This window comes from Homo sapiens, chromosome 17 (assembly GCF_000001405.40).
Source record: "Homo sapiens chromosome 17, GRCh38.p14 Primary Assembly".
In the NCBI taxonomy this organism is placed as follows: domain Eukaryota; kingdom Metazoa; phylum Chordata; class Mammalia; order Primates; family Hominidae; genus Homo; species Homo sapiens.
Window position 1 is genome coordinate 76,764,601 of NC_000017.11, and position 25,211 is coordinate 76,789,811.

Genomic DNA, 25,211 nt, shown 5'->3' on the forward strand with positions numbered 1-25,211 from the left:
TAATATACCATTGTATATACCACATTTTCTTTATTCATCCGTTTAAGGACACTTAGTTGTTTCCATGTCTTTGCTATATAATTAATACACACACACACACACACATATACATATAATAGTGCTGTAATGAACATGGGAGTGCAGCTATCACTTTGAGATACTGCTTTCATTTCCTTTGGATATATGCCCAGAGGTAGAATTGCTGGATCATAACATGTTTTTAGTATTTTGAGGACCTTCCATATTGTTTTCCATGTTCGCTGTACCAATTTACATCCTCACCAATAGCGTACAAGGGTTGTCTTTCCTCCACATCCTCACCAACACTTGTTACCTTTTGTCTTTTTGATAATAGCCATCCCAACAGGTGTGAGGGGATGTCTTACTGTGGCTTTGATAAAGTTTTTAATTTTGATGTAGTCAATTTGTTTAGTTTTTCTTCTGTTGTGTGTGCTTTTGATGTCCTAAGATTTTGCTTCACCCCAGGTCCTGAAAATTTACTCCTATATTTTCTTTTAAAAGTTTTTTTAGTTTTAGCTCTTACATTTAGGTCTGTGATTCATTTTCAGTTAATTTTTACATATGGTTTGAGATGGAAATCCAGCTTTATTCTTTTGCATGTCAATATCCTGTTGTAGTCACGCCATTTGCTGAAAAGTCTGTTTTTTTGTCACTCTTGTCAAAAATCAATTGACTGTAGATATAAACATTTATCTCTAGATAGATAGATATATTCTTATGCCAGTACCATGCTGTGTTGAATCTTGTATATTTTGAAATTGGAAAGTGTGAATCCTCCAACTTTGTTACTTTTCAATATTATTTTGGCTATTGTGGGTCCCTTGAATTTCCTTTTTTTTTTTTTTTTTTTTTTTTTTTTGAGACAGGGTGTTGCTCTGCCGCCTAGGGCGGAGTACAGTGGCTTGATCAGAGCTCACTGCAGCCTCAACCTCCCAGGCTCAAGCGATCCTCCCATCTTAGCCTTCCAAGTAGCTGGGACTATAGGTGTGCACCACCATGCCTGGCTAATTTTTGTAGTGTTTTGTAGAGACAGGATTTCGCCATGTTGCCCAAGCTGGTCTTGGCTCAAGCGATTCTCCCAAGTCAGCCTCCCAAATTGTTGGGATTATAGGCATGAGCCACCAGGTCTGGCCATGAATTTTAGGATCAATCTATTTCTGCAAATAGATTGATGGGTTTTTTAATAGACTTTATTTTTTAGATCATTTTATGCTCATAACAAAACTGGGCAGAAAGTAGAGTTCCCATGTGGCCCCTATACCACATGTATGGAACTTCCCTCTGTTATTAATGTTCCCCACCAGAGCACATTTGTTATAATGAGCCTACACTGACATGTCGTTATCACCTAAAGACCATGGTTTACGTTAGGATTCACTCTTGGTGTGGTACCTTTTATGGGTTTGTACAAATATATAATGACATGCATTCATCATGATAGGATCATACTAGATAATCTTTTAGAATTTCTTTTTGTTAGCTAAGTCTTCTGATTTTTCTAAAATGAACATGTGGCCAGGAGTGATGGCTCACGTCTGTGATCCTAGCACTTTGGGAGGCCGAGGTGGGTGGATCACCTGAGGTCAGGAGTTCGAGACCAGCCTGGCCAACATGGCAGAACCCCTTCTCTACTAAAAGTACAAAATAATTAGCCGGGCATGGTGGTATGGGCCTATAATCCCAGCTACTCAGGAGGCTGAGGCAGGAGAATCGCTTGAACCCTAGAGGGGGAGGCTGCAGTGAGCCAAGATCGCGCCACTCTACTCCAGCCTGGGTGACAAAGTGAGACTCTGTCTCAAAAAAAAAAAAAAAAAAGAAAGAAACCTAAATAAATAAATAAAATAAAATGAACATGCTTTGCTAGTAGTTTTTTAAGTTAAAAGTATTGTTTTAAACTTTGCACTGGTTGTGTATTTTTTTGCTGGAAATACTTGAAAATGATTGGTACAAAATGTCTTCTTATATTTATTCTTAGTATAGTTCAGTGAAATTAGAGAAAAAAGTATCCTTTCTTACATATGGAGAGATTTAGGCCAGTGTTTGTGACTTAGGTAAGTTTCGTGGCCAGCAGATATATCACAATTAAAATCTGGATCCACTGTTAGTTTTGTGTACTAGAGTAGTGGTCCTTAAATTATGAAATGTGAATAGGTTCCAAAAAAGTCAGTTAAATGTGGAGTTTTTAGAAATGCATTATCCATTGCAGATTTCAACTAAATAAACAGTGTAAAAGCAAACATTAAAGTGACTAGAAACAAATATGCACAATGCAAGTTTCAGTCCTCAGAGCTACAGAGTCAGAATCTTGGGAAGTGGTGCCCAGCTTCTGTATGGCCAAAAAGCTGCCCTGTGATTCTGATCTTGAGTCCACTCTTAAAGCTGCTCCATGATAATTCTTTAGGGAAGTCAGTGCTTTGCTGATTGTTGACTCTCTCAAGAGCCTAACGGTTAATCATGCCTTTTGAAGTACTTTGTTGTTTTGTTTGATTCTATTTTTTTTCTTCCTTTTCATGTTTTTGTTATAAGAGCTGGAAAATGTGCTGAGGAAATGCATCTGTAGAATGTATTTAAGCACTTGAAATAAACGTTTTATTTATAGGGCAAATGTAGTTCATGCCTTAAGCATTTTAATCTGAAAGTTATATCCCAAAGTGTTCGTTTACTGGCATTATTGACAAGGGGTGTTTTGGTTGAAGGAAGTTTTAGAATGTTTGTTTTATTAACTAAAATCTAATTAAGTACTCTTAAATTTTTGTGTTTACAGAAAAGTCTTTTAAGTTATGTGTCACCAAGGAGATGCTCCTTCTTAGTATTACAACTGCTTATACAGGTAATGGAATTACTGTTCTTATTTTCTCTTGCTGCATAATGACAATAAGGAGTTGAAAACGAGCCACGTTATTATTTCTCACAATTCTGTGCAGTGACTGGACTCAGTGAATGGTTCTTCTCATGGTGTCACTTGGGGTCTCTTGTGGCTGGTTTCCTTCACGTGTCGCCTTCACTGTGGTCAGATGATAGGCTGAATATCTCTCTTTTTGTGTAGTCTCAGAGCTGCTCTCCATCTCCACGACCCCCTCCATAAGATCACCTTGTGATCTGGCAGGATAGCCAGACACCTTAGTTAATGGACTGATGGCTCCAAAAAAGGCAACAGGAAAGAATACCAGACCTTCTTAAAGCTCAGGCTTCAGTCTAGCCCAGCATCACTTCTACTGGATTCTGTTGGTGACAGCAAATCACAGGGTTGGCCCAAATTCAGTGTGGAAGGATTCCACACAAGGTTCAGAAAAACCAGGACACGTGGCTCTTTGGGACCAGTGGTTTTAGGCAATGCAGAGCGCTACAGAAAATAACCATGAAGAAATCTGTAACTTTATATGGATTAAAATCATTTCTGGACAGGTGCAGTGGCTCACGCCTGTAATCCCAGCACTTTGGGAGGCTGAGGCGGGTGGATTGCTTGAGCCCAGGAGTTCAAGACCAGCCTGGGCAACATGGCAAAACCCCATCTCTACTAAAAATACAAAAAATTAGCCGAGTATGGTGGTGCATGCCTGTAGCCCCAGCCACTCAGGAGGCCGAGGTGGGAGAATCACCTGAGCTCAGTAAGTCAAGGTTGCATGATCCAAGATGGCACCACTATACTCCAGCCTGGGCCACGGGAGTAAAGACCTCCGTCTCAAAAAAAAAAAAAAAAAAAGTCATTTCTAATGAAATAGAAGCATGTCATAATGTGGTATGATAGCAGGCGGGGTACCCTTAAGTCAAGAATGATAAAGAAATTTGTTTTCTTTTAAAAAATGCTGTAATTTGCTAGTTAATCTTTTCCCTTATGTGCCTCATAGATACAACATATTTTTAGGTGAAATAGAATAAACATTAAACATCTTTAAAATTCACAGTTAAGGTTTTGTAGCATTAGGGAATCAAGGTCCCCTACTGATTTACTCTAATTTTTTAATCTTTGGAATTTTCTTTTCCTAGAAAAAGGGGTTTAATTAAAACATTATGGTGCTTTTAAGACACATTGTATAGTATGTATTGGCTTTCCATTACAGTAAGAATATAATTGAATAGGGGCTGGGCACAGTGGCTCATGTCTGTAATCCCAGCACTTTGGGAGGCCGAGGTGGGTGGATCACCTGGGGTCAGGAGTTCGAGACCAGCCTGGCCAAAATGGTGAAACCCCGTCTCTACTAAAAATACATAAATTACCCGGGTGTGGTGGTGCATGCCTGTAATCCCAGCTACTTGGGAGGCTGAGGCAAGGAGAATTGCTTGAACCTGGGAGGCAGAGGTTGCAGTGAGTTGAGATAGCGCCACTGCACTCCAGCCTGGGCAACAGAGCAAGACTCTCTCTCAAAAAAAAAAAAAAAAAAGAATGTTCCTGTTTCTTTGGAAAGCTACTAACAAGGTTAATGAGCATGTTAGTCTTCACTGTTACAAAGTTATGTTAATTATCACCTCTGCCCATCTCCGCCTGCATGGAGAGTGATAGGTTTTAACATAAGGATATCTGTTCATTTGAGTTGTATACTTTTACCTGAAATATATGGCAGATGCCGTCTTGTGGTATCTTAATTTTAGCTGCTATAACAAATTTCCATAGACTGTGTGGCTTAAACAACAGACACTTATTTCTCACAGTTCTGGAGGCTGGGAAGTCTGAGAGCAGGATGCCACCATGCGCAGCTTGTGGTGTGGGCTGTTCCTGGTTGTAGACAGCTGCCTTCTTGCTGTGTCCTCCCATGGCAGAGAGCAGACAGGAAGCAAGCTTTTTGTTGTCTCTATTTATAAGGGCACTAATCACATCGAGAGGGCTCCACCCTCATGGCCTAATTGCCTCCAAAAGGCCCCATCTCCAAATACCATCATGTTTTGGGGAATTTGAGTTTCAATATGTGAATCTGGGGAGGACACAAACATTTAGTCCATAGCATGAAGCTAATTCCATTTCATCAGTTACATCACATTATGCTCTGCTTGGGGATTAATATTTCAGTCTCTGTGAGTTTTATGTGTTTTACTACGCAAGTATTCTTTCGTCAGATACTACTAGATGGGAAGATAAACAAAAATGTGAATATATAAATGACATCTGTTTTTTTTCTTTAACTAAAGGTCTGGAATTAACTTTCTTCTCTGGTGTATATGGAACCTGTATTGGTGCTACAAATAAATTTGGAGCAGAAGAGAAAAGCCTTATTGGACTTTCTGGCATTTTCATCGGCATTGGAGAAATTTTAGGTTGGTTTTAAAAAAAAGCGTTTGCATTAAAAATATCAGTTTATTATAGGTAAAATAGAAATTTTAAGTGTGCTTCACCTTTGTCCTTGAATTTCTGTTTTTTCTACTTATTTTTACCCAAACGTGTGTTTTTATTTTTCTATTATTGCTATTCTTTTTCTTTTTTTTTTTTTTTTTCCAGACAGAGTCTCGCTCTGTCGCCGAGGCTAGAGTTGGAGTGCAGTGGTGCGATCTCAGCTCACTGCAAGCTCCGCCTCCCGGGTTCACGCCATTCTTCTGCCTCAGCCTCCCGAGTAGCTGGGACTACAGGCGCCCGCCACTATGCCCGGCTAATTTTTTTGTATTTTTAGTAGAGACGGGGTTTCACCGCATTAGCCAGGATGGTCTCGATCTCCTGACCTCATGATCCGCCCACCTCGGCCTCCCAAAGTGCTGGGATTACAGGTGTGAGCCACCATGCCCGGCCTATTATTGCTATTCTAATATAACTAAATTATAAAACATTTGCAAAATAATTCACAGATGGAAACCCTGTGTAAGAAAACATACAATGTCTCCCGACTTTTCCTCCTAAAATATTTAGAAAGTCTTGGAATTCCTGACTCTGGTTCTCTGATTCCCTGTCACCAACTGGGTGTCCAACAGCTCAATCCTGTTCTAACACTTAACTCTCCAAAGTTAGTGTCAGATTCCACAGGTTTAAGGGTTCAGTCCTACAGACAGACAGTCTGGGTCCATAGGCCTCTCAGGCACACCTCTCTGACTTGGGTACAAATTTGGAGGTTCCCATAGCCCTCTTCCCCCTTCATGTTTGATAATTTGCTAGAGCAACTCACAGAACTCAGGAAAATGCTCTCCTGACTATTAGAGTTTATTATAAAGGATACAGATGAGCAGCCTGATGAGGAGGTGCAAAGGGTGGGGTCTGAAAGGGTCCCTAAGTGCAGGAGCCTCTGTCTCCATGGATTTTGGGCTCACCACTCCAGAAGCTCCTCCAACCCTGTTTAGGGGGATTTATGGAGATCCTGTTACATAGGCATGCTTGATTAAATCATTGGCCACATGGCCGGGTGCAGTGGCTCATTCACTTTGGGAGGCCGAGGTGGGAGGATCACTTGAGCCCAGGAGTTCGAGATCAGCCTGGACAACATAAGGAGACCCTGTCTCTAACAACAACAAAAAAACAATCATTGGCCATTGGTGATTGATTTAATCTCCAGCCTTCCCTCCCTGAAGTGGGAGTGAAAGGGGCCTGGAAGTTCTAGCCCTCAGGGCTTGGTCTTTCTGGGAACCAGCCTCATCCTGAAGCTCTATCCTAGGCCAACCCCTCTCTCCCCAAGGGTTGCCCCCTTAGCGTAAACTTCAGTATGGTTGAAAGTGGCTCTTTCTGAATAACTAATGTCCCTCGTATCACTGAGGAAATTCCAGGCCTTTTAGGATTTCTGTGCCAAGAACTAGCAGCAAAGACCAAATATGTATTTTTATTATGCTCCACGAGTTATTCTTTGTTCAACAAAGATTTGTTCAGCACTTGCAGTATATTGAATATTGTGTTAGATATGAGGAACTTCAACAAAGGTTTATTGTAATCTGTCATGTCAACAAAATAGACAAAAATACCTGCCCATATAGAGCTTATATTCTTGAGGAAGAATACAGACAATAAAAACAGAAATCTTTGTATGTCAGGCAGTGGTAAGCACCATGGGTAAAGCGGACTTTGGAGGGTTTGTTTGTTTTTGCTTTTTGGCCCCTGCCTTATTGCCAACACCTGGAGCAGGACAAGGTCTATATTGGGCATCCAATAAATGAGTTAAATGTGTTGAATGAATAATGAGAACATGGTTTCAGCAGAACTTAGTAACCAGTTGCGTGGTGGTGTGAGGAGAGATGTCTAGAATGATGACCAGGTTGATCAGAGTAACCTGGGCAGAGAGAATGCTGTAGGAGATGGGGTTTGAGGAAATCTGCTGAATGGGATTTTGAACACCTCTAAGTACCAGAGAGGCACCCAAGTAGAGAAGTGTCCAGTGGGAAATGCAGGCTGATGCTCAGGAGGGACTCGTGGGCTGGAGGTTGATGTTGGGAGTTATGGGTATGTAAATGGCGGGCGAAGCTTAGCCATGGTGAGTCAGTGCAGGGTTGTCTTCTCTGGTAAGTGCTTGTTTAGTGTCTGCCTGTAGACTACCTGGGAAGAAACTCACTTTCTGTAGGCAACCTGCTTTTTTGAAAAAAATAATTTCAAATTGATAAGAAATTGCGAAAATAGGCCAGGCACAGTGCTCACGCCTATAATTCTAGCACTTTGGGGAGCTGAGGTGGGCAGATCGCTTGAGTTCAGGAGTTTGAGACCAGCCTGGGCAACATGGCAAAACCCCATCTCTACAAAAAAAGTACAAAAAAATTAGCCAGGTGTAGTGGCGTATGCCTGTCGTCCCAGCTACTTGGGAGGCTGAAGTGGGAGGTTGCAGTGAATCCAGATCACACCACTGCACTCCAGCCTGGGCCACAGAGCAAGATTCTGTCTCAAAAAAACCAAAAAACCAAAACAAAAAAAGAAATTGCAAAAATAAAAATAGTACAATGAACATCTGAATATCCTTTAACAGGATTCATCTATTGTTAACGCTCTACCTTAGTAACTTTTTTTTTTTTTTTTTTTTAAGGACAGAGTCTTGCTCTGTTGCCCAGGCTGGGGTGCAGTGGCTCGATCTTGGCTCACTGCAACCTTCGCTGCTGGGATTCAAGCAATTCTTCTGCCTCAGCCTCCCAAGTAGCTGGGACTACAGGCAACCGCTACCACGCCTGGCTAATTTTTGTATTTTTAGTAGAGATGGGGTTTCACCATGTTGGCCAGGCTGGTCTCAATCTCCTGACCTCTTGATCCACCCACCTCGGCCTCCCAAAGTGCTGGAATTACAGGCATGAGCCACTGCACCTGGCCCTCCTGTCAGTATTTTTGAGCTTTGTTCTTAGATGTAGTTCATTTAATTGAAAACAGCATACCTTTTAAGATTTGTTGGGCAGGACTGGAGCATTACTCAGTCTAGGGCTAATTATTTCCTGCTTCTAAGGGAAGACCCTTCTGTGTGCTCCACCCAGTTCCTGTGAATCATAAGCTTTTAAGTGGCTGGTGGGACCAGACACTATACCCAGCTGAGGGCGGGGCCCTAATACCACTAATCCTCTTGGCTGGTTCTTTCCCAGACTTCTGCTAATTTGCTCACTTTATGTACTGATCAGTCCTCAGCTGAAGACTCAGGGGGACTGTCTGCAGCTCTCTGGAATTGTTTTTCTGTGTAGCTTTCCTTTCTGATACCGTTGTCTGTGAACTCTGGTCACCCTGATATCCCTAGAGTCACATCCCCGTCTCTTCAATCCATGGGGGCTGCTGGCCTCCGCCTGGGTTCTTTCTCCCTCTGCTGCCTACTCTTGAGAGGAACTGCCAGATATTTTCCAGAGTGGCTGTACCAGCAATGTGTGAGTGATTCCGTTTTTCTGAATCCTTGCCAGCACTTGGTGTTATCACTGTTTTTGATGTTAGCGATTGTGATAGATGTGTAGTCATGTTTCATTGTGGTTTTACTTTGTCTTTAATGGGTAATGATGTTGAGCATCTTTTCATGTGTGTATTTACCCTCTTTATATCTTCTTTGGTGACGTGTATGTGCATATCTTTTGCCCATTTTCTAGGCAGGGTTTTTTTGTTTTGTTTTGTTTTTACTGTTAACCTTCACTTTTTAAATTTTTTTTTTCCAGACGGAGTCTCGCTCAGTTGCCAGGCGGAGTGCAGTGGCGCAATCTTGGCTCATTGCAACCTCCACCTCCTGGGTTCAAGCGATTCTCCTGCTTCAGCCTCCTGAGTAGCTGGGACTACAGGCGCACGCCACCACGCCCAGCTAATTTTTGTATTTTTAGTAGAGACAGGGTTTCACCATGTTGGTCAGGATGGTCTTGATCTCTTGACCTCGTGATCTGCCCACCTTGACCTCCCAAAGTGCTGGGATTACAGGCGTGAGCCACCATGCCCAGCAACTTTCTAAATTTTTTTAAATTATTTTTTTATTTTTTTGAGACAGAGTCTTGCTCTGTCACCCGTGCTGGAGTGCAATGACATGATCTTGGTTCACTGCAACATCTGCCCCCTGGGTTCAAGTGATTCTCCTGCCTCTGCCTCTTAAGTAGCTGGGACTACAGGCATGTGCCACCACACCTGGCTAATTTTTGTATTTTTACTAGAGACAGGGTTTCACCATGTTGGCCAGGCTGGTCTCGAACTCCTGACCTCGGGTGATCTGCCCGCCTTGGCCTCCCAAAGGGCTGGGATTACAGGTGTAAGCCACTGTACCTGGCCCACTTTTTAAAAAATATATATACAATTTTTTCTTTCTTTTTTTAAAAAAGACAGCGTCTTGCTATGTTGCTGAGGCTGGTTTGGAACTCCTGGCCTCAAGCAATTCTCCCACCTTGGCCTCCCAAAGTGCTGGGATTACAGGCATGAGACCCTGCACCCAGCCATCCTTCACTTTTGATATATAGGTTTGCTGGTATCGATTTCTGGGGTAGAAATCACTTAAAAATTATAAAGGTCTTCTTCCTTTCAGTTACAGAGTTCTCCTCTTCTCACTCTTGAGGATTCTCCTCTCAGCTTTTGAGATATCCTAGCTGTTCTGGCTGCTGACTCTTCCTAGGCCTCTCTGACTCCCCTTCGGAGCTCACACATAATTCTCAGAATCCATAGTGACTGCCTTTCAGTGTGATACCTTGGCTTGTTTGGCTATGATTGCAACAAAAACGTGGTCATAATGACAAGTTGTGTCCTTATTTTATTTCTGTTATAAGCTACAGGTCAAAGGGGATAGCTTGTGGGGTACAATAATTCACAGAGAAGAAATACAAGAATGTTCCTGGATAGAAATGCAAGTCATTTTGATACCTTACTTTTTTGTTCTAATAGTTGATGCTTGGTCATCATTATCATTGTCTGCAAGTGCTGAGGTGTTGGGTTTTTTGAAGAAATTTAACAAGTGAGAATGTTTATTCCTTGGCTCCTTGGTGGTAACTCAGGCCTGGGTATGTGATGTTTCGGCAACATTAGTGACGTTTCTGCCATCTTGACTTATAGGTGGAAGCCTCTTCGGCCTGCTGAGCAAGAACAATCGTTTTGGTAGAAATCCAGTTGTGCTGTTGGGCATCCTGGTGCACTTCATAGCTTTTTATCTAATATTTCTCAACATGCCTGGAGATGCCCCGATTGCTCCTGTTAAAGGAACTGACAGCAGTGCTTACATCAAATCCAGGTATAGTGGCTGTCATTTCTCTAGTCGCTTGAGTACGGGTGGGAGGTAACGGATGGCTAGATACTGAAAGTGGAGCAGTTAATCCTCTTCAGAGAGCCTGGTGTCTCTCTAAGGTCATCTGTCAAGTGTTCATGGAGTCAGACTGAGTTTAAATAGGAATCCTTAGAGAATCCTAAGTTATTTTTGTAATAGTTGGTTTTAACCTTTTCCCCCACTAAATCTTTTTCTTGATCCTTGAAGGAGCACGTAAGTATCTGATTTGAATTTTTTATCTCTGCTTCTTAAGCAGTGAAATATCCAGACATTAGGGCCTGGAGGAAGAACAAAGAGGAGCGAGGGAGAACCTGGCAACCGGGGAGGCCATTCAGTCCTTCCAGAGCAGTTTATATAACGTTTGAGGATATCGGTTTAGTGCACTCAACTCTCAAGTTCATTATAAACGCAGACATTTATGTCCAGCTCCACAAATCCAAGGGGAGCCCAGCCCAAAAAACTATACAAACTGAGTATATCGCATCTGAAAATCTGAAACTTTTCAAGGGCCAACATGATGCTCAAAGGGAAGTGTTATTAGAACATTTCAGGTTACAGATTTTCAGATTAAAAATACCTAACTGGTCAGTGTAATGCAGATGTTCCAAAATCTGAAAAGAAAATTTGAAACACTTCTGGTCTTGATAAGGGATACTCAACCTGCATTTTCTTCACAAATGGTTGAGACCAGAGTTTGTTAGAATGTAAAGGTGTGTGCATTTGAGCAAAAATTCTTACTTTGTAAATTCTAGTCTTTATGTTTTATTTTTATTTATTTATTTATTTATTTTGAGACAGAGTCTCACTCTGTCTGCCAGCCTAGAATGCAAGTGGCGTGATCTCCGCTCACTGCAACCTCCACCTCCGGGGTTCAAGTGATTCTCGTGTCTCAGCCTCCCGAGTAGCTGGGATTACAGGCACGCGCCACTATGCCCAGCTAATTTTTATATTTTTAGTAGAGATGGGGTTTTGCCATGTTGGCCAGGCTGGTCTCAAACTCCTGTCTTCAAGTGATCTGCCCACCTCAGCCTCCCAAAGTGCTGGGATTCCAGGTGTGAGCCACCGCACCAGCTTTGTCTTTATTTTTGTTTCATAGTGTTTACAACTTGCAGGTAGAATTCTTTTGTGGGTGGGTTGCTTGTATATTTTAAATGGCTCTAGCAGATATTGCTCATACTAAATTGATTTTTATTTTCTTCAGCAAAGAAGTTGCCATTCTCTGCAGTTTTCTGTTGGGCCTTGGAGACAGCTGCTTTAATACCCAGCTGCTTAGTATCTTGGGCTTTCTGTATTCTGAAGACAGCGCCCCAGCATTTGCCATCTTCAAGTTTGTTCAGGTAACCTCTTCAGATTGTGATTGTGTTTGACATAGGGCTCTTCCCTTTGTGTATTGCCTTGTTTTCCTTGGTTACTTGTATTGTGGTTTTAATTTTTATTTATTTATTTTTATTTTTTTGATAGAGTCTCTCTCTGTCACTCAGGCTGGAGTGCAGTAGCGCAATCTTGACTCGCTGCAACCTCCGCCTCCCGGGTTCAAGCAATTCTCCTGCCTTAGCCTCCTGAGTAGCTGAGATTACAGGTGCACACCACCATGCCTGGCTAATTTTTGTATTTTTTTTTTCTTTTTAGCAGAGGCAGGGTTTCACCACGTTGGTTAGGCTGGTCTCAAACTTCTGACCTCAGGTGATCCACCTGCCTTGGCCTCCCAAAGTGCTGGGGATTATATGCGTGAGCCACCGCACCTGGTCTATTTTTTTATTTTATTTTTTTTTAAAGACAAAGTCGGCCCGCCGCGGCTCACACTTGTAATCCCAGCACTTTGGGAGGCCAAGGTGGGCGGATCACGAGGTCACAAGATGGAGACCATCCTGGCTAACACGGTGAAACCCTGTCTCTACTAAAAATACAAAAAAATTAGCCGGGCGTGGTGGCACGTGCCTGTAGTCCCAGCTACTTGGGTGGCTGAGGCAGGAGAATGGTGTGAACCCGGGAGGCGGAGCTTGCGGTGAGCCCAGACCGCGCCACTGCACTTCAGCCTGGGCCACAGAGCGAGACTCCGTCTCAAAAAAAAAAAAAAAAAAAAGACAGTCTCACTCTGTAGTCCAGACTGGAGTGCAGTGGCACGATCTTGGCTCAGTGCAATCTCTGCCTCCCAAGTAGGTGGGATTACAGGAGTGCACTACCATGTTCAGCTAAGTTTTTATATTTTTAGTAGAGATGAGGTTTTGCCATTTTGGCCAGGCTGGTCACAAACTACTGGCCTCAAGTGATCCGCCCGCTTGGGCCCCACAAAGTGCTGGGATTATAAACATGAGCCACCGCCCCGGCTATATTGTGTTTCTTATTTTATTTTATTTTTTTGTTTCCTCTTTTTTTTTCCTTTTTTTGCTTTTGTCTTGTATTGTGTTTTTTAAATGAAAGTTGGGGACATCCTTTAAGAGGATTTATGACTAGAATTAGGAAGCAATGAGCAGTAAGATTTTTTGTGTAACAGATTTTATGTTCTGGTCTCTATGGCTCTGATTAGAGATTTCCTTCCTTAGATACCAGAATTCTATTCATTTGTAATACAGACAAGTGTATTTCTTACTCTGTACATTCTTGTTACTCCAGTTTTCCACAAAATGCTATTTTTGTTTCATTTTATTTTATTTTGTAGAGATGGGGTCTTGCTATGTTGTGCAGGCTGGTCTTGAACTCCTGGGCTCAAGCATTTCTCCCACCTTGGCCTCCCAAAGTGTTGGGTGGCATGAACCCCCACACCTGGCCAAAATGCTATTTTAAATACCAGGAACTGTGGCAGGAGTTTATGGTGCATGTTTGTGAGTCAGTGACTGAGGAAGTCATACCTTGATGCAGAAAGAATAGAAAGCACTGTGAGTTCCAGGTGTCCTTGGGGCAGGATAGGAGTGGGGCTAGGGGCTAACTGTGGCTCAGTGTGGCCCCCGGTGCGCCCGTTGTGATTTGTTTTGTTTGTTCTTAGTCTATTTGCGCAGCCGTGGCATTTTTCTACAGCAACTACCTTCTCCTTCACTGGCAACTCCTGGTCATGGTGATATTTGGGTTTTTTGGAACAATTTCTTTCTTCACTGTGGAATGGGAAGCTGCCGCCTTTGTAGCCCGCGGCTCTGACTACCGAAGTATCTGATCTGGTGTCCGTGAGGGGACACGTATGACCTCAGAAACACAGCTGGACACAGAGCTTGGTGGAAGAAGTCGCCTTTGATCTTCACTATATATTGGGTGATGTTCAGTATGGAAAATCAAGGGATTAAGACTGTTAAATCAGCCAGAGTTGGTGTTCAAGTTTACAGATATGAGTTATTTAAAGCAAGTAGAATAAGGGAAAGCTGTTCTGTCAACTGTAATTGTTCAAAGATGTTGTTTTTCATTTCATCTATCTCAATTCTTATAATCATGTTATAGAATGTAAATGTTTTCTTCTCTCTCCTGCTCTTGTTGGAAGATCCTGCCTTGATTTAGAATACTAGGCCATATGTCATATAAATATTTTTTCTGGATATGGAGTATGTTTTGCCATGTAATAATGGGAAGCATATGTCATTCCCCATATGTGTTGGAGAATGACATTTAAATAAATAGCAAAGCTGGGTGTGGTGTTGCACCGCTATACTCCCAGCTGTTGGGGAGGCTGAGACAGAAGGATCACTTCAGCCCAGGAGATTGAGGCTGCGGTGAGCTATGATCACACCACTGCACTCCAGGCTGGGCAACAGAGTGAGACCCTGTCTTGAAAATAATAATAGGCTGGTCACAGTGGCTCATGCCTGTAATCCCAACACTTTGGGAGGCTGAGGTGGGTGGATCACCTGAGGTCAGGAGTTTGAGACCAGCCTGGCCAACATGGTGAAACCTCATCTCTACTAAAAATACAAAAATGTGTTGGGTTTGGTGGTGCATGCCTGTAATCCTAGCTACTAGGGAGGCTGAGGTAAGAGAATTCGCTTGAACCTGGGAGGCGGAGGTTGCAGTGAGCCGAGATCGTGCCATTGCACTCCAGCCTGGATGACAAGAGTGAAACTCCATCTCAAAAAAAAAAAAAAAAAAAAGAAAAGAAAATAATAATGATAATTTTTTAAAATAATGAAAAATAAATAACAAGATGCTGAAATGAAATATTGATTTTGAAAAGATGTCTTCCTCTGTAAATGTTTCATTTGATAAGTTTTCTTACCTTGTAGCTCATAGCAAGGAGTGGCCAGTTAAGTATTATGAAATAAGGTAAAAATTGTCATAAGTCTTTTTTAAAATTTATTTATTATTTATTTATTTATTTAGAGACGGAGTCTCACTCTGTCGCCTAGGCTAGAGTGCAGTGGCGTGATCTCAGCTCACTGCAACCTCTGCCTCCCGGGTTCAAGCAATTCTCATTCTTTAGCCTCCCAACTAGCTAGGATTACAGGCATGTGCCACCACACCTGGCTAATTTTTGTATTTTTAGTAGAGATGGGGTTTCACCATGTTGGCCAGGCTGGTCTGGAACTCCTGACCTCAGGTGATTCACCTGCCTCGGCCTCCCAAAGTGCTGGGATTGCAGGGGTGAGCCACCATGCCCGGTCCTTTAAGTCTTAAGAACAGGGATCTAACATCTGTAACAACAAAAACATTGAAAAAGACAAACATATTTACTGAGGGAGGACTTTTGCTAGCAATTTTCCTGGAAGATGCAATGCAGAAACCCCCAAACAAACCTGGAATGAGATCTGAGCTGCGTCATCAGGCCAGTGTCACACCGTCATTTATGTGTCCTCCTCGAGCAGTGCAAGTCTATCATCCTGGGTGCGGGAATGGAACATAACTATTTGGGGAGATGTTAAATGGAAGTGTTAGCTTCCCTCCATAAGAGCTCACTTAAATTTTTTTTTTAAATTGAAATCAAATCCAGAAACCATAAAAATGTCCCATTTTAAAGTGTACATTCACAAGGTTGCATAACCACCACAATGATCTAATTCCAGGACATTTTATCACCCCAAAAAGTAGTCGCTGCCTGTCAGCAGTCATTCTTTCTCATCTGGCATGGCAACCACGAATCTACTTTCTGTCTCTATAGATTTGCTTATTTTGAACATTTCATGTAAATGAGACAGCTCAGTTTTGTTTTTTTTTTCTTTTCAAATTTTTAGTAGAGACAGAGTCTCCCTATGTTGCTCAGGCTGGTCTTGAACTCCTGGGCTTAAGTGATCTTCTTGCCATGGCCTCGCAAAGTGCTGGGGGGATTACAAACAAGAGCCACCGTGCCTAGGAAGAGCTCACTTTTGTTGTTGTTGTCTTTTGGTTGTTGTGTATGTGTTTTTTTTTTTTTTTCAAGACAGCGTCTCACTCTGTTGCCCAGGCTAGAGTGCAGTGGCGCAATCTTGGCTCACTGCAACCTCCGCCTCCCAGGTTAAAGCGATTCTCCTGCCTCAGCCTCCTGAGTAGCTGGGATTACAGGCATGCACCACCCCGCCTGGCTAATTTTTGTATTTTCAGTAGAGACGGGGTTTCACCATGTTGGTCAGGCTGGTCTCGAACTCTTGACCTCATGATCCGCCTGCCTCAGCCTCCCAAAGTGCTGGGATTACAGGCGTGAGCCACTGCGCCCAGCGGCTCCAGATTTTGAAGTTCTGGTTTTCCTTTTTGAAGCTGATATAACCTCCATTGGCTTAGTTGATCCTATATAAATAATTTACAAATGCCCTTTTAGACTTAACAGTAGTGATTTATTATCTCTTTAAGCACATTATTTATCAAGGTGTATTAGTTTTCTAATGTGCCATAACAAATTACCTCAAAACGTAGCCACTTAAAATAACACACATCTATTTCATCACAGTTTCTGTGGGTCGGGAATCTGCGCATGGCTGAGCTGAGTCCTGAGCGTCTCTCCAGGCTGCAGTCCATGTCTCTGCAGGCTGCAGTGAAGGTGTGTTCCAGGCTTCACTGGGGGAGGGCCTGCTTCCCTGCTCACTCGTATAGTTGTTGCAGGAGTCAGTTCCTCACAGACTGTCAGGCTAAGTAAGGATCTTGGTTTCTTATGGCTATTGGCTAAAGATCGCCCTCTGCCCTTCATCATGCTACGGAGTAGTCCTCAGGGCAGCCTACGACATGGCAGCTGTCTCCATCAAAGGTCACAAGCAAGGACAGCTGGAGAGAACGAGAGCAAGACAAAAGCCGCAGTCTCTCATAACTTCATCACTGTTGCACTCTGTCTGTTAGGTGCCAGTCACTAGTTCCAGCCTATTCTCAGGGAGGGAATTGGTGGGGAGCATCTTACAAGGCTGCCCACCTTGTCACCTGTCACACTGAGACTTACATGGAAGGTGACAACTGGGTCCTGTATTCCCAAGCCTCGCATTCTCCAGGCCCTTGCTCTGTTTGCTCATAATGGATCTGTACAACCCTGCTGGCAGAAGGAGGTGAAGCCACCTCTGTTAATGACACTGAGAATTTTAATCTGAGGAAGCCATGGCATCTTGTCACCCCTAGGATTCCTGGTGATTATTGTCAAAAGGGAAAGGAAATGAAGTGAAGTGCTGTGTGCAGTATGGCAGGAACCCAGCTTTTCCTAGGCTGCCTCCTACTGGCTTTGTGCTATGGTATTCATTTTCAGTTTCGTACTCACTTTTTTGTTAGAGACAGGGTCTTGCTTTGTTGCCCAGGCTGGATCACAGTGGCACAGTCATGGCTCACTGCAGCTTTGACGTCTTGGGCTCAAGCAATATTCCGGCCTCAGTCTCCCAAGTAGCTAGGACCACAGGCATGTACCACCATGCCTGGATAATTTTTTTTTTTTTTTTGTAAAGGCAGTGTCTTATCTTGCCCAGGCTAGCCTTGAACTCCTGGACTCCAGTGATCCTCCTGCCTCGGCCTTCCAAAATGCTGGGATTACAGGAATGAGCTACTATGCTTTTTTTTCTCCCCCGCCCCCGGCCCCTGTGGGGAGTTTGTTGCGCTTTTATTCAGTTCTTTTTTATTTTTATTTTTTGAGATGGAATTTCACTCTTGTTGCCCAGGCTGGAGTGCAATGGCGCGATCTCGGCTCACTGCAACCTCTGCCTCCTGGGTTCAAGCGATTCTCCTGCCTCAGCTTCCCAAGTAGCTGGGATTACAGGCATGTGCCACCATGCCCAGCTAATTTTGTATTTATAATAGAGACAGGGTTTCCTCATGTTGGTCAGGCTGGTCTTGAACTCCCAACCTCAAGTGATCCACCCGTCTCAGCCTCCCAAAGTGCTGGGATTACAGGCGTGAGCCACCGCGCCCAGGCTTTTTTTTTTTTTTTTTTTTTTGAGACAGAGTCTTGCTCTGTCACCCAGGCTATAATGCAGTGGCGCAATCTCGGCTCACTGCAACCTCCACATCCCGGGTTCAAGCAGTTCTCCTGCCTCAGCCTCCCGAGTAGCTGGGACTACAGGTGCACACCACCATGCCCGGCTAATTTTTGTATTTTTTAGTAGAGATGGGGCTTCACCATGTTGGCCAGGCTGGTCTCGAACTCTTGACCTCATGATCCACCCACCTCAGCTTCCCAAAGTGCCGGGATTACAGGCTTGAGCCCACCACGCGGGGCTGCTTTTATTCAGTTCTTGTGTCTATAGTTTTGATCTTGGTTGACTCTTTAGATGACTGGATAACATTAAGGTCATCTTTTAAATTCTTTGCATTACTTGAGTTAAAGATGAAATGTGGGGCCAGGCACGGTGGCTCACGCCTATAATCATAGCACTTTGGGAGGCCAAGGCAGGCAGATCACAAGGTCAAGAGTTCGAGACCAGCCTGGCCAATATGGTGAAACCCCATCTCTACTAAGAATACAAAAATTAGCCAAGTGTGGTGGCAGGAGCCTGTAATCCCAGCTACTCAGGAAGTTGAGGCAGGAGAATTGCTTGAACCCGGGAGGCAGAGGTTGCAGTGAGCCAAGATCACGCCACTGCACTCCAGCTCCAAAAAAAAAAAAAAAGAAATGTGACAATGAAATAAATAGTTTAATTTTTATGCTTGTCTTATATATGCTGTTCAAAACTTTTGTCTTCATACTTGTAGCTAAGTAAATGCTGTAGCTGGGTCTCCCATGGGTGTTTGTTTGTGTGTGTGGATGTCCCGCTCTTTTATTGCAAGTTTCATATTGTCTATATTTAGATTTGGCTTAGACCTTGAGCAACGTTTATTGAACCACAGGTGTTTTTCTCTGTGAGTATGAAAACATTCTCCCCTCCCCTCCCGAGTTTTCCCATACCCCAACTTGAACGCCTTTAAACCAGGGCTTCGGCTGCCCACACAGGATTTCTTTCCTCTAGGAGTTTTTGTTGGTTGGTTGGTTTGTTGTTTGTTGACTTATAGTAAGTCCCTTGGGGGTCTTTTGTTTTTTGAGACGGAGTTTTGCTCTTGATGCCCAGGCTGGAGTGCAATGGCACAGTCTTGGCTCACTGCAACCTCTGCCTCCCAGGTACAAGCGGTTCTCCTGCCTCAGCCTCCCGAGTAGCTGGGATTACAGATGCCTGCCACCACGCCCAGCCTATTTATTTTTTGTATTTTTAGTAGAGACGGGATTTCACCATGTTGGCCAGACTGGTCTCGAACTCCTGAGCTCAGGTGATCTGCCTGCCTTGGCCTCCCAAAATGCTGGGATTACAGGCATGAGCCCCCACTCCTGACCCCCTTGGGAGTTTTTAAGTTCTCCAAGTACAAATAAGTCCCCATTAATAGTCATTTTTTTTGGATCTTCACACCCATTGGGATGGCTGCTACCCAGAAAAAAAAAAAAAGAAAAAAGGAAGGTGTTGGCAAGGATGTGGAGAAATTGAAACCCTTGTGCACTGTGTGTGGAAATGTACAATGGTGAAGCTGCTGGGAAAACAGTATGGCAGTTCCTCAAAAACTAGAAATACCATGTGATCCAATAATTTCACTTGTGGGTATATACATAAAAGAGTTAAAAGCAGACTTGAAGCAATATTTGTACACCCATATTCATAGCTGCATTATTCACAATAGCCAAAAAGTCAAAACAACTCAAGTTATTCATCCATAGAAGAATGGATAAACAGGCCAGGCACAGTGGCTCAAGCCTGTAATCCCAGCACTTTGGGAGGCTGAGGCAGGCAGATCATGAGGTCAAGAGATCGAGACCATCCTGGCCAACACAGTGAAACCCCATCTCTACTAAAAGTACAAAAATTAGCTGGGCATGGTGGCGCTGCCTGTAGTCCCAGCTACTTGGGAGGCTGAGGCAGGAGAATCGCTTGAACCTGGGAGGCAGAGGTTGCAGTGAGCTGAGATCGTGCCACTGCACTCCAGCCTGGCGACAGAGTGAGACTCCATCTCAAAAAAAAAAGAATGGATAAACAAAATGTGGTTTCTCCATACGATGGAATGGCATTCAGCATTAAAAGACAGTTATCCTCAGGCCGGGTATGGTGGCTCACACCTGTAATTCCAGCACTTTGGGAGGCTGAGGTGGGTGGATCACTTGAGGTCAGGAGTTCGAGACCAGCCTGGCTGGCCAACATGGTATAACCCTGTCTCTACTAAAAATACAAAAATTAGTTGGGTATGGTGGCATGTGCCTGTAATCCTAGCTAATCAGGAGGCTAACGCAGGATAATCGCTGGAACCCAGGAGACAGAGGTTACATCAAGCAGAGATCATACTACTGCACTCCAGCCTGGGCAACAGAGTGAGACTCCGTCTCAAAAACAAAACAAAACAAAAAAACTTATTCTCAACAAACTAAAAATAGAATTACATATGATCCAGTAATTTCACTCTGGGCATATACACAAAATAGTTGAAAAGGTCTCAGAGATATTTGTTCACCCACATTCACTGCAGCATTATTCACAATTACCTAACAGTGGGAAAATAAATCTTCATCAGTGAATGGAACAAAATGTACGTCTATACAATGAAGTATGATTCAGCCTTTAAAGGAAGGAAATTTGGGCACATGCTACAACATAGATGGACCTGGAGGACATTATCGTGCTGAGTGAGATAAGCCAGTCACACAAAGACAAATACTGCTTGATTTCATTTATTATATGAAGTACCTAGAGTAGACAAATTCATGGAGTCAGATGTAGAATGGTGGGCTGGTGGGGACGGAAGAGTGGGAAGGTAGTGTTTATTGTCTTCATTTTTTATTTTTGAGGCAGGGTCTTGCTCTGTCACCCAGGCTGGAGTGCAGTGGCACAAACATAGCTCACTGCAACCTCCAACTCCTGGCCTCAAGCGGTCCTCCCACCTCAGCCTTCCGAGTAGCTTGGGACCACAAGCGCATCCCACCACACTCAGGTAATTTTTTTGTATTTTTTGTAAAGACAGGGTTTCACCATGCTGCCAGGCTGGTCCTGAACACCTAGACTCAAGCGGTCCACCCACCTCAGCCTCCCAAAGTGCTGGGATTACAGACATGAGCCACTGTGCCTGGCCTAGTATTTAATGAGTACAAAGTTTCTGTTGTGCAAGATGAGTTCTGGAGATGGGCAGTGGTGATGGTTGCACAGCATTATAATGTATTTAATACCACTGAACTGCACACTTCAAAATGGTTAAGATGGTAAATTTTATGAGTATTTTTATCACAATTAATGGCTAGGCATGGTGGCTCATGCCTAAAATCCCAGCGCTTTGGGAGGCCAAGGCAGGTGGATCACCTGAGGTCAGGAGTTTGAGACCAGCCTGGCCAACGTGCTGAAATCTTGTTTCTTAAAAATACAAAAATTAGCTGGGCATGGTGGTGGGCACCTGTAATCCTACTTGGGAGGCTGAGGCACGAGCATCACTTGAACCAGGAAGGCAGAGGTTGCAGTGAGCCGAGATCGAGCCACCGCACTCCAGCATAGGCAACAGAGCAAGACTCCATCTCAAAAAAAAAAAAAAAAAACAGAGGTGTTCCTTGAGTACCTGAGACACAAGCACTCCTGGAGCTCTTCTAATTTTTTTTTTTTTTTTTTGAGACGGAGTGTTGCTCTGTCACCCAGGCTGGAGTGTAGTGGTGTGATCTCGGCTCACTGCAACCTCTGCCTCCTGGGTTCAAACGATTCTCCTGCCTCAGCCTCCCAAGTAGCTGGGATTACAGACATGCACCACCATGCCCTGCTAATTTTTGTATTTTTAGTAGAGACAGGGTTTCGCCATGTTGGCCAGGCTGGTCTCGAACTGACCTCAAGTGATCTGCCCGCCTCGGCCTCCCAAAGTGCTGGGATTACAGGCATAAGCCACCACACCTGGCTGAGGACCACCTCTTAACTTGGGGATTCACTAGGACTCACAGGACTCAGCACGTGTTGAACTCAACAGTGACGCAGTCAGAATGCGCAGCTGGGTCTTAAGGAAAAGGACTCAGCAGAGCATACAGGAATCCAGACACAGGCTTCCTATGCTCTCTCCAGCCCGAGGAGTCACACAGAACACACTCTTACCCCAGCAACAAAGATGCAGAAACACAGGCATGTGCCATATTTCTGTCCAGGAAAGCCCACTAGAGACACAGCACCAAAGGTTTTTACTGAAGTCTGGTCACATAGGCAGCCTCTGCCCAGCTGGTACCAAAATTCCGTACTCCAGAAGGAAAGCAGGTGTTTATTTAGCATTAGCCACAATGTTTCTTGTTTTTTTGTTTTTTGACACGGAGTCTCGCTCTGTCACCCAGGCTGGAGTGCAGTGGCGCGATATTGGCTCACTGCAGCCTCTGCCTCCCAGGTTCAAGCAATTCTCCCACCTCAGCCTCCGGAGTAGCTGGGATTTACAGGCCCACCACCATGCCCGGCTAATTTTTGCATTTTTAATAGAGATGGGGTTTCATGCAGGCTTTGTATCAATACAACAAAAATGTTCTCAAGGGTTCTCATGTCTCTCGAACCTCTATTTCTAGGCATGACTCTCAGAAACAGATATCAAAGGATAACAGGATGTGAGTGATTTCTTTTTTTTTTTTTTTTTTTGAGACAGAGTTTCGCTCTTGTCGCCCAGGCTGGAGTGCGGTGGTGTGATCTCGACTCACCGCAACCTCCGCCTCCTGGGTTCAAGCGATTTTCCTGCCTCAGGCTCCCGAGTAGCTGGGATTACAGGCGCCCGCCACCACGCCCAGCTAATTTTTTGTATTTTTAGTAGAGACGGGGTTTCGCCATGTTGGCCAGGCTGGTCTTGAACTCCTGACCTCAGGTGATCCACCCACCTTGGCCTCCCAAAGTGCTGGGATTACAGGCATGAGCCACCGCACCCGACCAGATGTGAGTGATTTCAGTAGAACACGGACATCCTTCCTTATTTTCTCAAACTGAGAGATTCATTATGTAATTGAAAGAAAATATTCTTTGCAATATGGCCTAAGTGTCTAGTTCTGTTACTTTTGGTCCTCCAAGAAAATGAAAGGCTTGATCAAGCTGGATCAAATTCCAGCCATATGGTTGGGTAAATATAATACTATGAGCTTTTGTTATATAATCAGCAGTGAAATGATTGAAAACCAAAAATAAAACCCTAACCCCCCAACCCCAAACTGACTGAACAGACCCCTTAATGGGCCAAGAGGATGCTAGAGAAACCTCAAAACAATTCCCAGCCATGACCGGGGAAAAAAGGTCAGCTGCCTTATTATACCCACCTTTTTCGGAGTTTAGGCACAACTGACCAGCATGAACATTAAAATAGCAATCATAAAACTGACAGAACAGACTCTGTAGCAATAAGATACCAAATTCCAACCTAACTCTGGCATAGCATCACATGACAGATAGGAGACCTGAGGGAAATACAAATATTTTACCCCCAAATACATGGTTTTGCTTTTTTTGTTGTTTGTTTGTTTGTGGTTTTTTTTTTGAGACAGAGTCTCACTCTGTCACCCTGGGTGGAGTGAAGTGGCCTGTCACCAGGCTGGAATGCAGTGGCATGATCTCAGCTCACTGCAAGCTCCGCCTCCTGGGTTCAAGAGATTCTCATGCCTCAGCCTCCTGTGTAGCTGGATTTACAGTTGCACGCTGCCACACCTGGCTAATTTTTTGTATTTTTAGTAGAGACAGGGTGTTGCCATGTTGTCCAGGCTGGTTTCAAACTCCTGAGCTCAGGCAATCCAACCACCTCAGCCTCCCAACATGCTAGGATTACAGGTGTGAGACACCATGCCCAGCCCAAAATATATATGTATATATTTTGTTGTTTTGTTGTTGTTTTGAGACAGAGTCTCGCTGTGTTATCCAAGCTGGAGTGCAATGGCATGATCTTGGCTCACTGCAACCACCGCCTACCAAGTTCAAGCAATTCTCCTGCCTCAACCTCCCAAGTAGCTGGGATTACAGGTGCCTGCCACCACGCCCGGCTAATTTTTGTATTTTTAGTAGAGACGGGGTTTCACAGCCTCGGTAGAGGCTGAGATTCATGCCTGTAATCTCAGCACTTTGGGAGGCCGAGGCAGGTGGATCATGAGGTCAGGAGTTCGAGACCAGCCTGGCCAACATGGCAAAACCCCATCTCTACTAAAAACAAGAAAAAAATTAGCCAGGCTTGGTGGCACGCGCCTGTAGTCCCAGTTACTTGGGAGGCTGAGGCAGGAGAATCACTTGAACCTGGGAGAAGGATTGCACCACTGCTCTCCAGCCTGGGCGACAGGACGAGACTCCGTCTCAATCAATAAATCAATCAATAAATAAGATCGGACGTGGTGGCTCATGCCTGTAAGCCCAGCACTTTGGGAGGCTGAGGCGGGCGCATCACCTGAGGTCAGAAGTTCGAGACCAGCCTGGCCAACATGGTGAAACCCCATCTCTACTAAAAATATAAAAATTAGCTGGGCATAGTAATGCACACCTGTAATCCCAGCTACTGGGGAGGCTGAGGCAGGAGAATCGCTTGAACCCAGGGGGCGGAGGTTGCAGTGAGCTGAGATCACACCATTGCACTCCAGCCTGGGTGACAGAGTGAGACTTCATCTCAAAAAAATAAAAAATAAAAAAGTTTTAGAGCAGGAATGAAAGGAAGCAAAGTACACTTGGAAGAGGGTCAAGTGGGCAACATAAGAGATCCAAGTGCCCTGTTCAGCCTTGGGCTTGGGGTTTTATACATTGGCATGGTTCCGGGGTTTGTGTTTTTCTTCCCTTAATTTTCCCCTTGGGGCAGGCTGTCTGCATGCACAGTGACCTGCCAGCACTTGGGAGGGGCCGCATGTGCAGTGCGTTTACTGAAGTTGTGTGTATGCTCGTTTGAGGCATTTTTCTCTTACCAGTCAAGCATTCCCAGAGGAAGGTCATATACCAGTTAAACTCCCATTTTGCCTCTTAGTGCACATGTTTGAACCGACTCGCCTAGCTCCTGAGATCTTATCAGGAAGCTGCTGATCACTAGCTCCAGGTATTTTCTATCTACTGGGAGACTGCAGGTCCCTGGAACCAGCTGCAACCAATTATCATTTTAGCGACACAGTTTAACAACTGCCTGACCATCACCTGATGGTTGCCTGACGACCTGATAGGGGCCCTCTCCTGCCCTGCTCAGTTCTGCCTAACTGCCTACTCTAACATACTGATTTATGTCTTGGCCTGCAACTTCTGTCTCCCTAAATGTGTAAAACCAAGCTGTAACTGACCACACTTTCTCAGGACCTCT

At 44.1% G+C, this 25,211-nt stretch overlaps 1 protein-coding gene across 35 annotated transcripts in view; it reads left to right on the top strand.

The window, feature by feature from the left end:
• MFSD11 (major facilitator superfamily domain containing 11) overlaps positions 1-25,211 on the top strand; it is a 67,172-nt gene that overhangs the window by 27,967 nt on the left and 13,994 nt on the right. For 21 of the 35 annotated variants that reach the window (NR_148231.2, NR_148229.2, NR_148230.2 and 18 more), the window contains 5 exons: positions 2,786-2,851; positions 5,146-5,271; positions 10,397-10,571; positions 11,806-11,941; positions 13,588-14,741. Coding sequence is in view for 22 of the 35 variants with exons in the window: in NM_001242534.3 (NP_001229463.1) it covers positions 2,786-2,851; positions 5,146-5,271; positions 10,397-10,571; positions 11,806-11,941; positions 13,588-13,752 (668 nt within the window). In the remaining 13 variants the exon portion in view is untranslated. Of the gene's footprint in view, positions 1-2,785; positions 2,852-5,145; positions 5,272-10,396; positions 10,572-11,805; positions 11,942-13,587; positions 14,742-16,440; positions 18,680-20,761; positions 20,976-25,211 lie in introns of those variants that run through there. The other 14 variants (XM_047436733.1, XM_011525239.4, XM_017025065.3 and 11 more) reach the window with 5 other exon arrangements.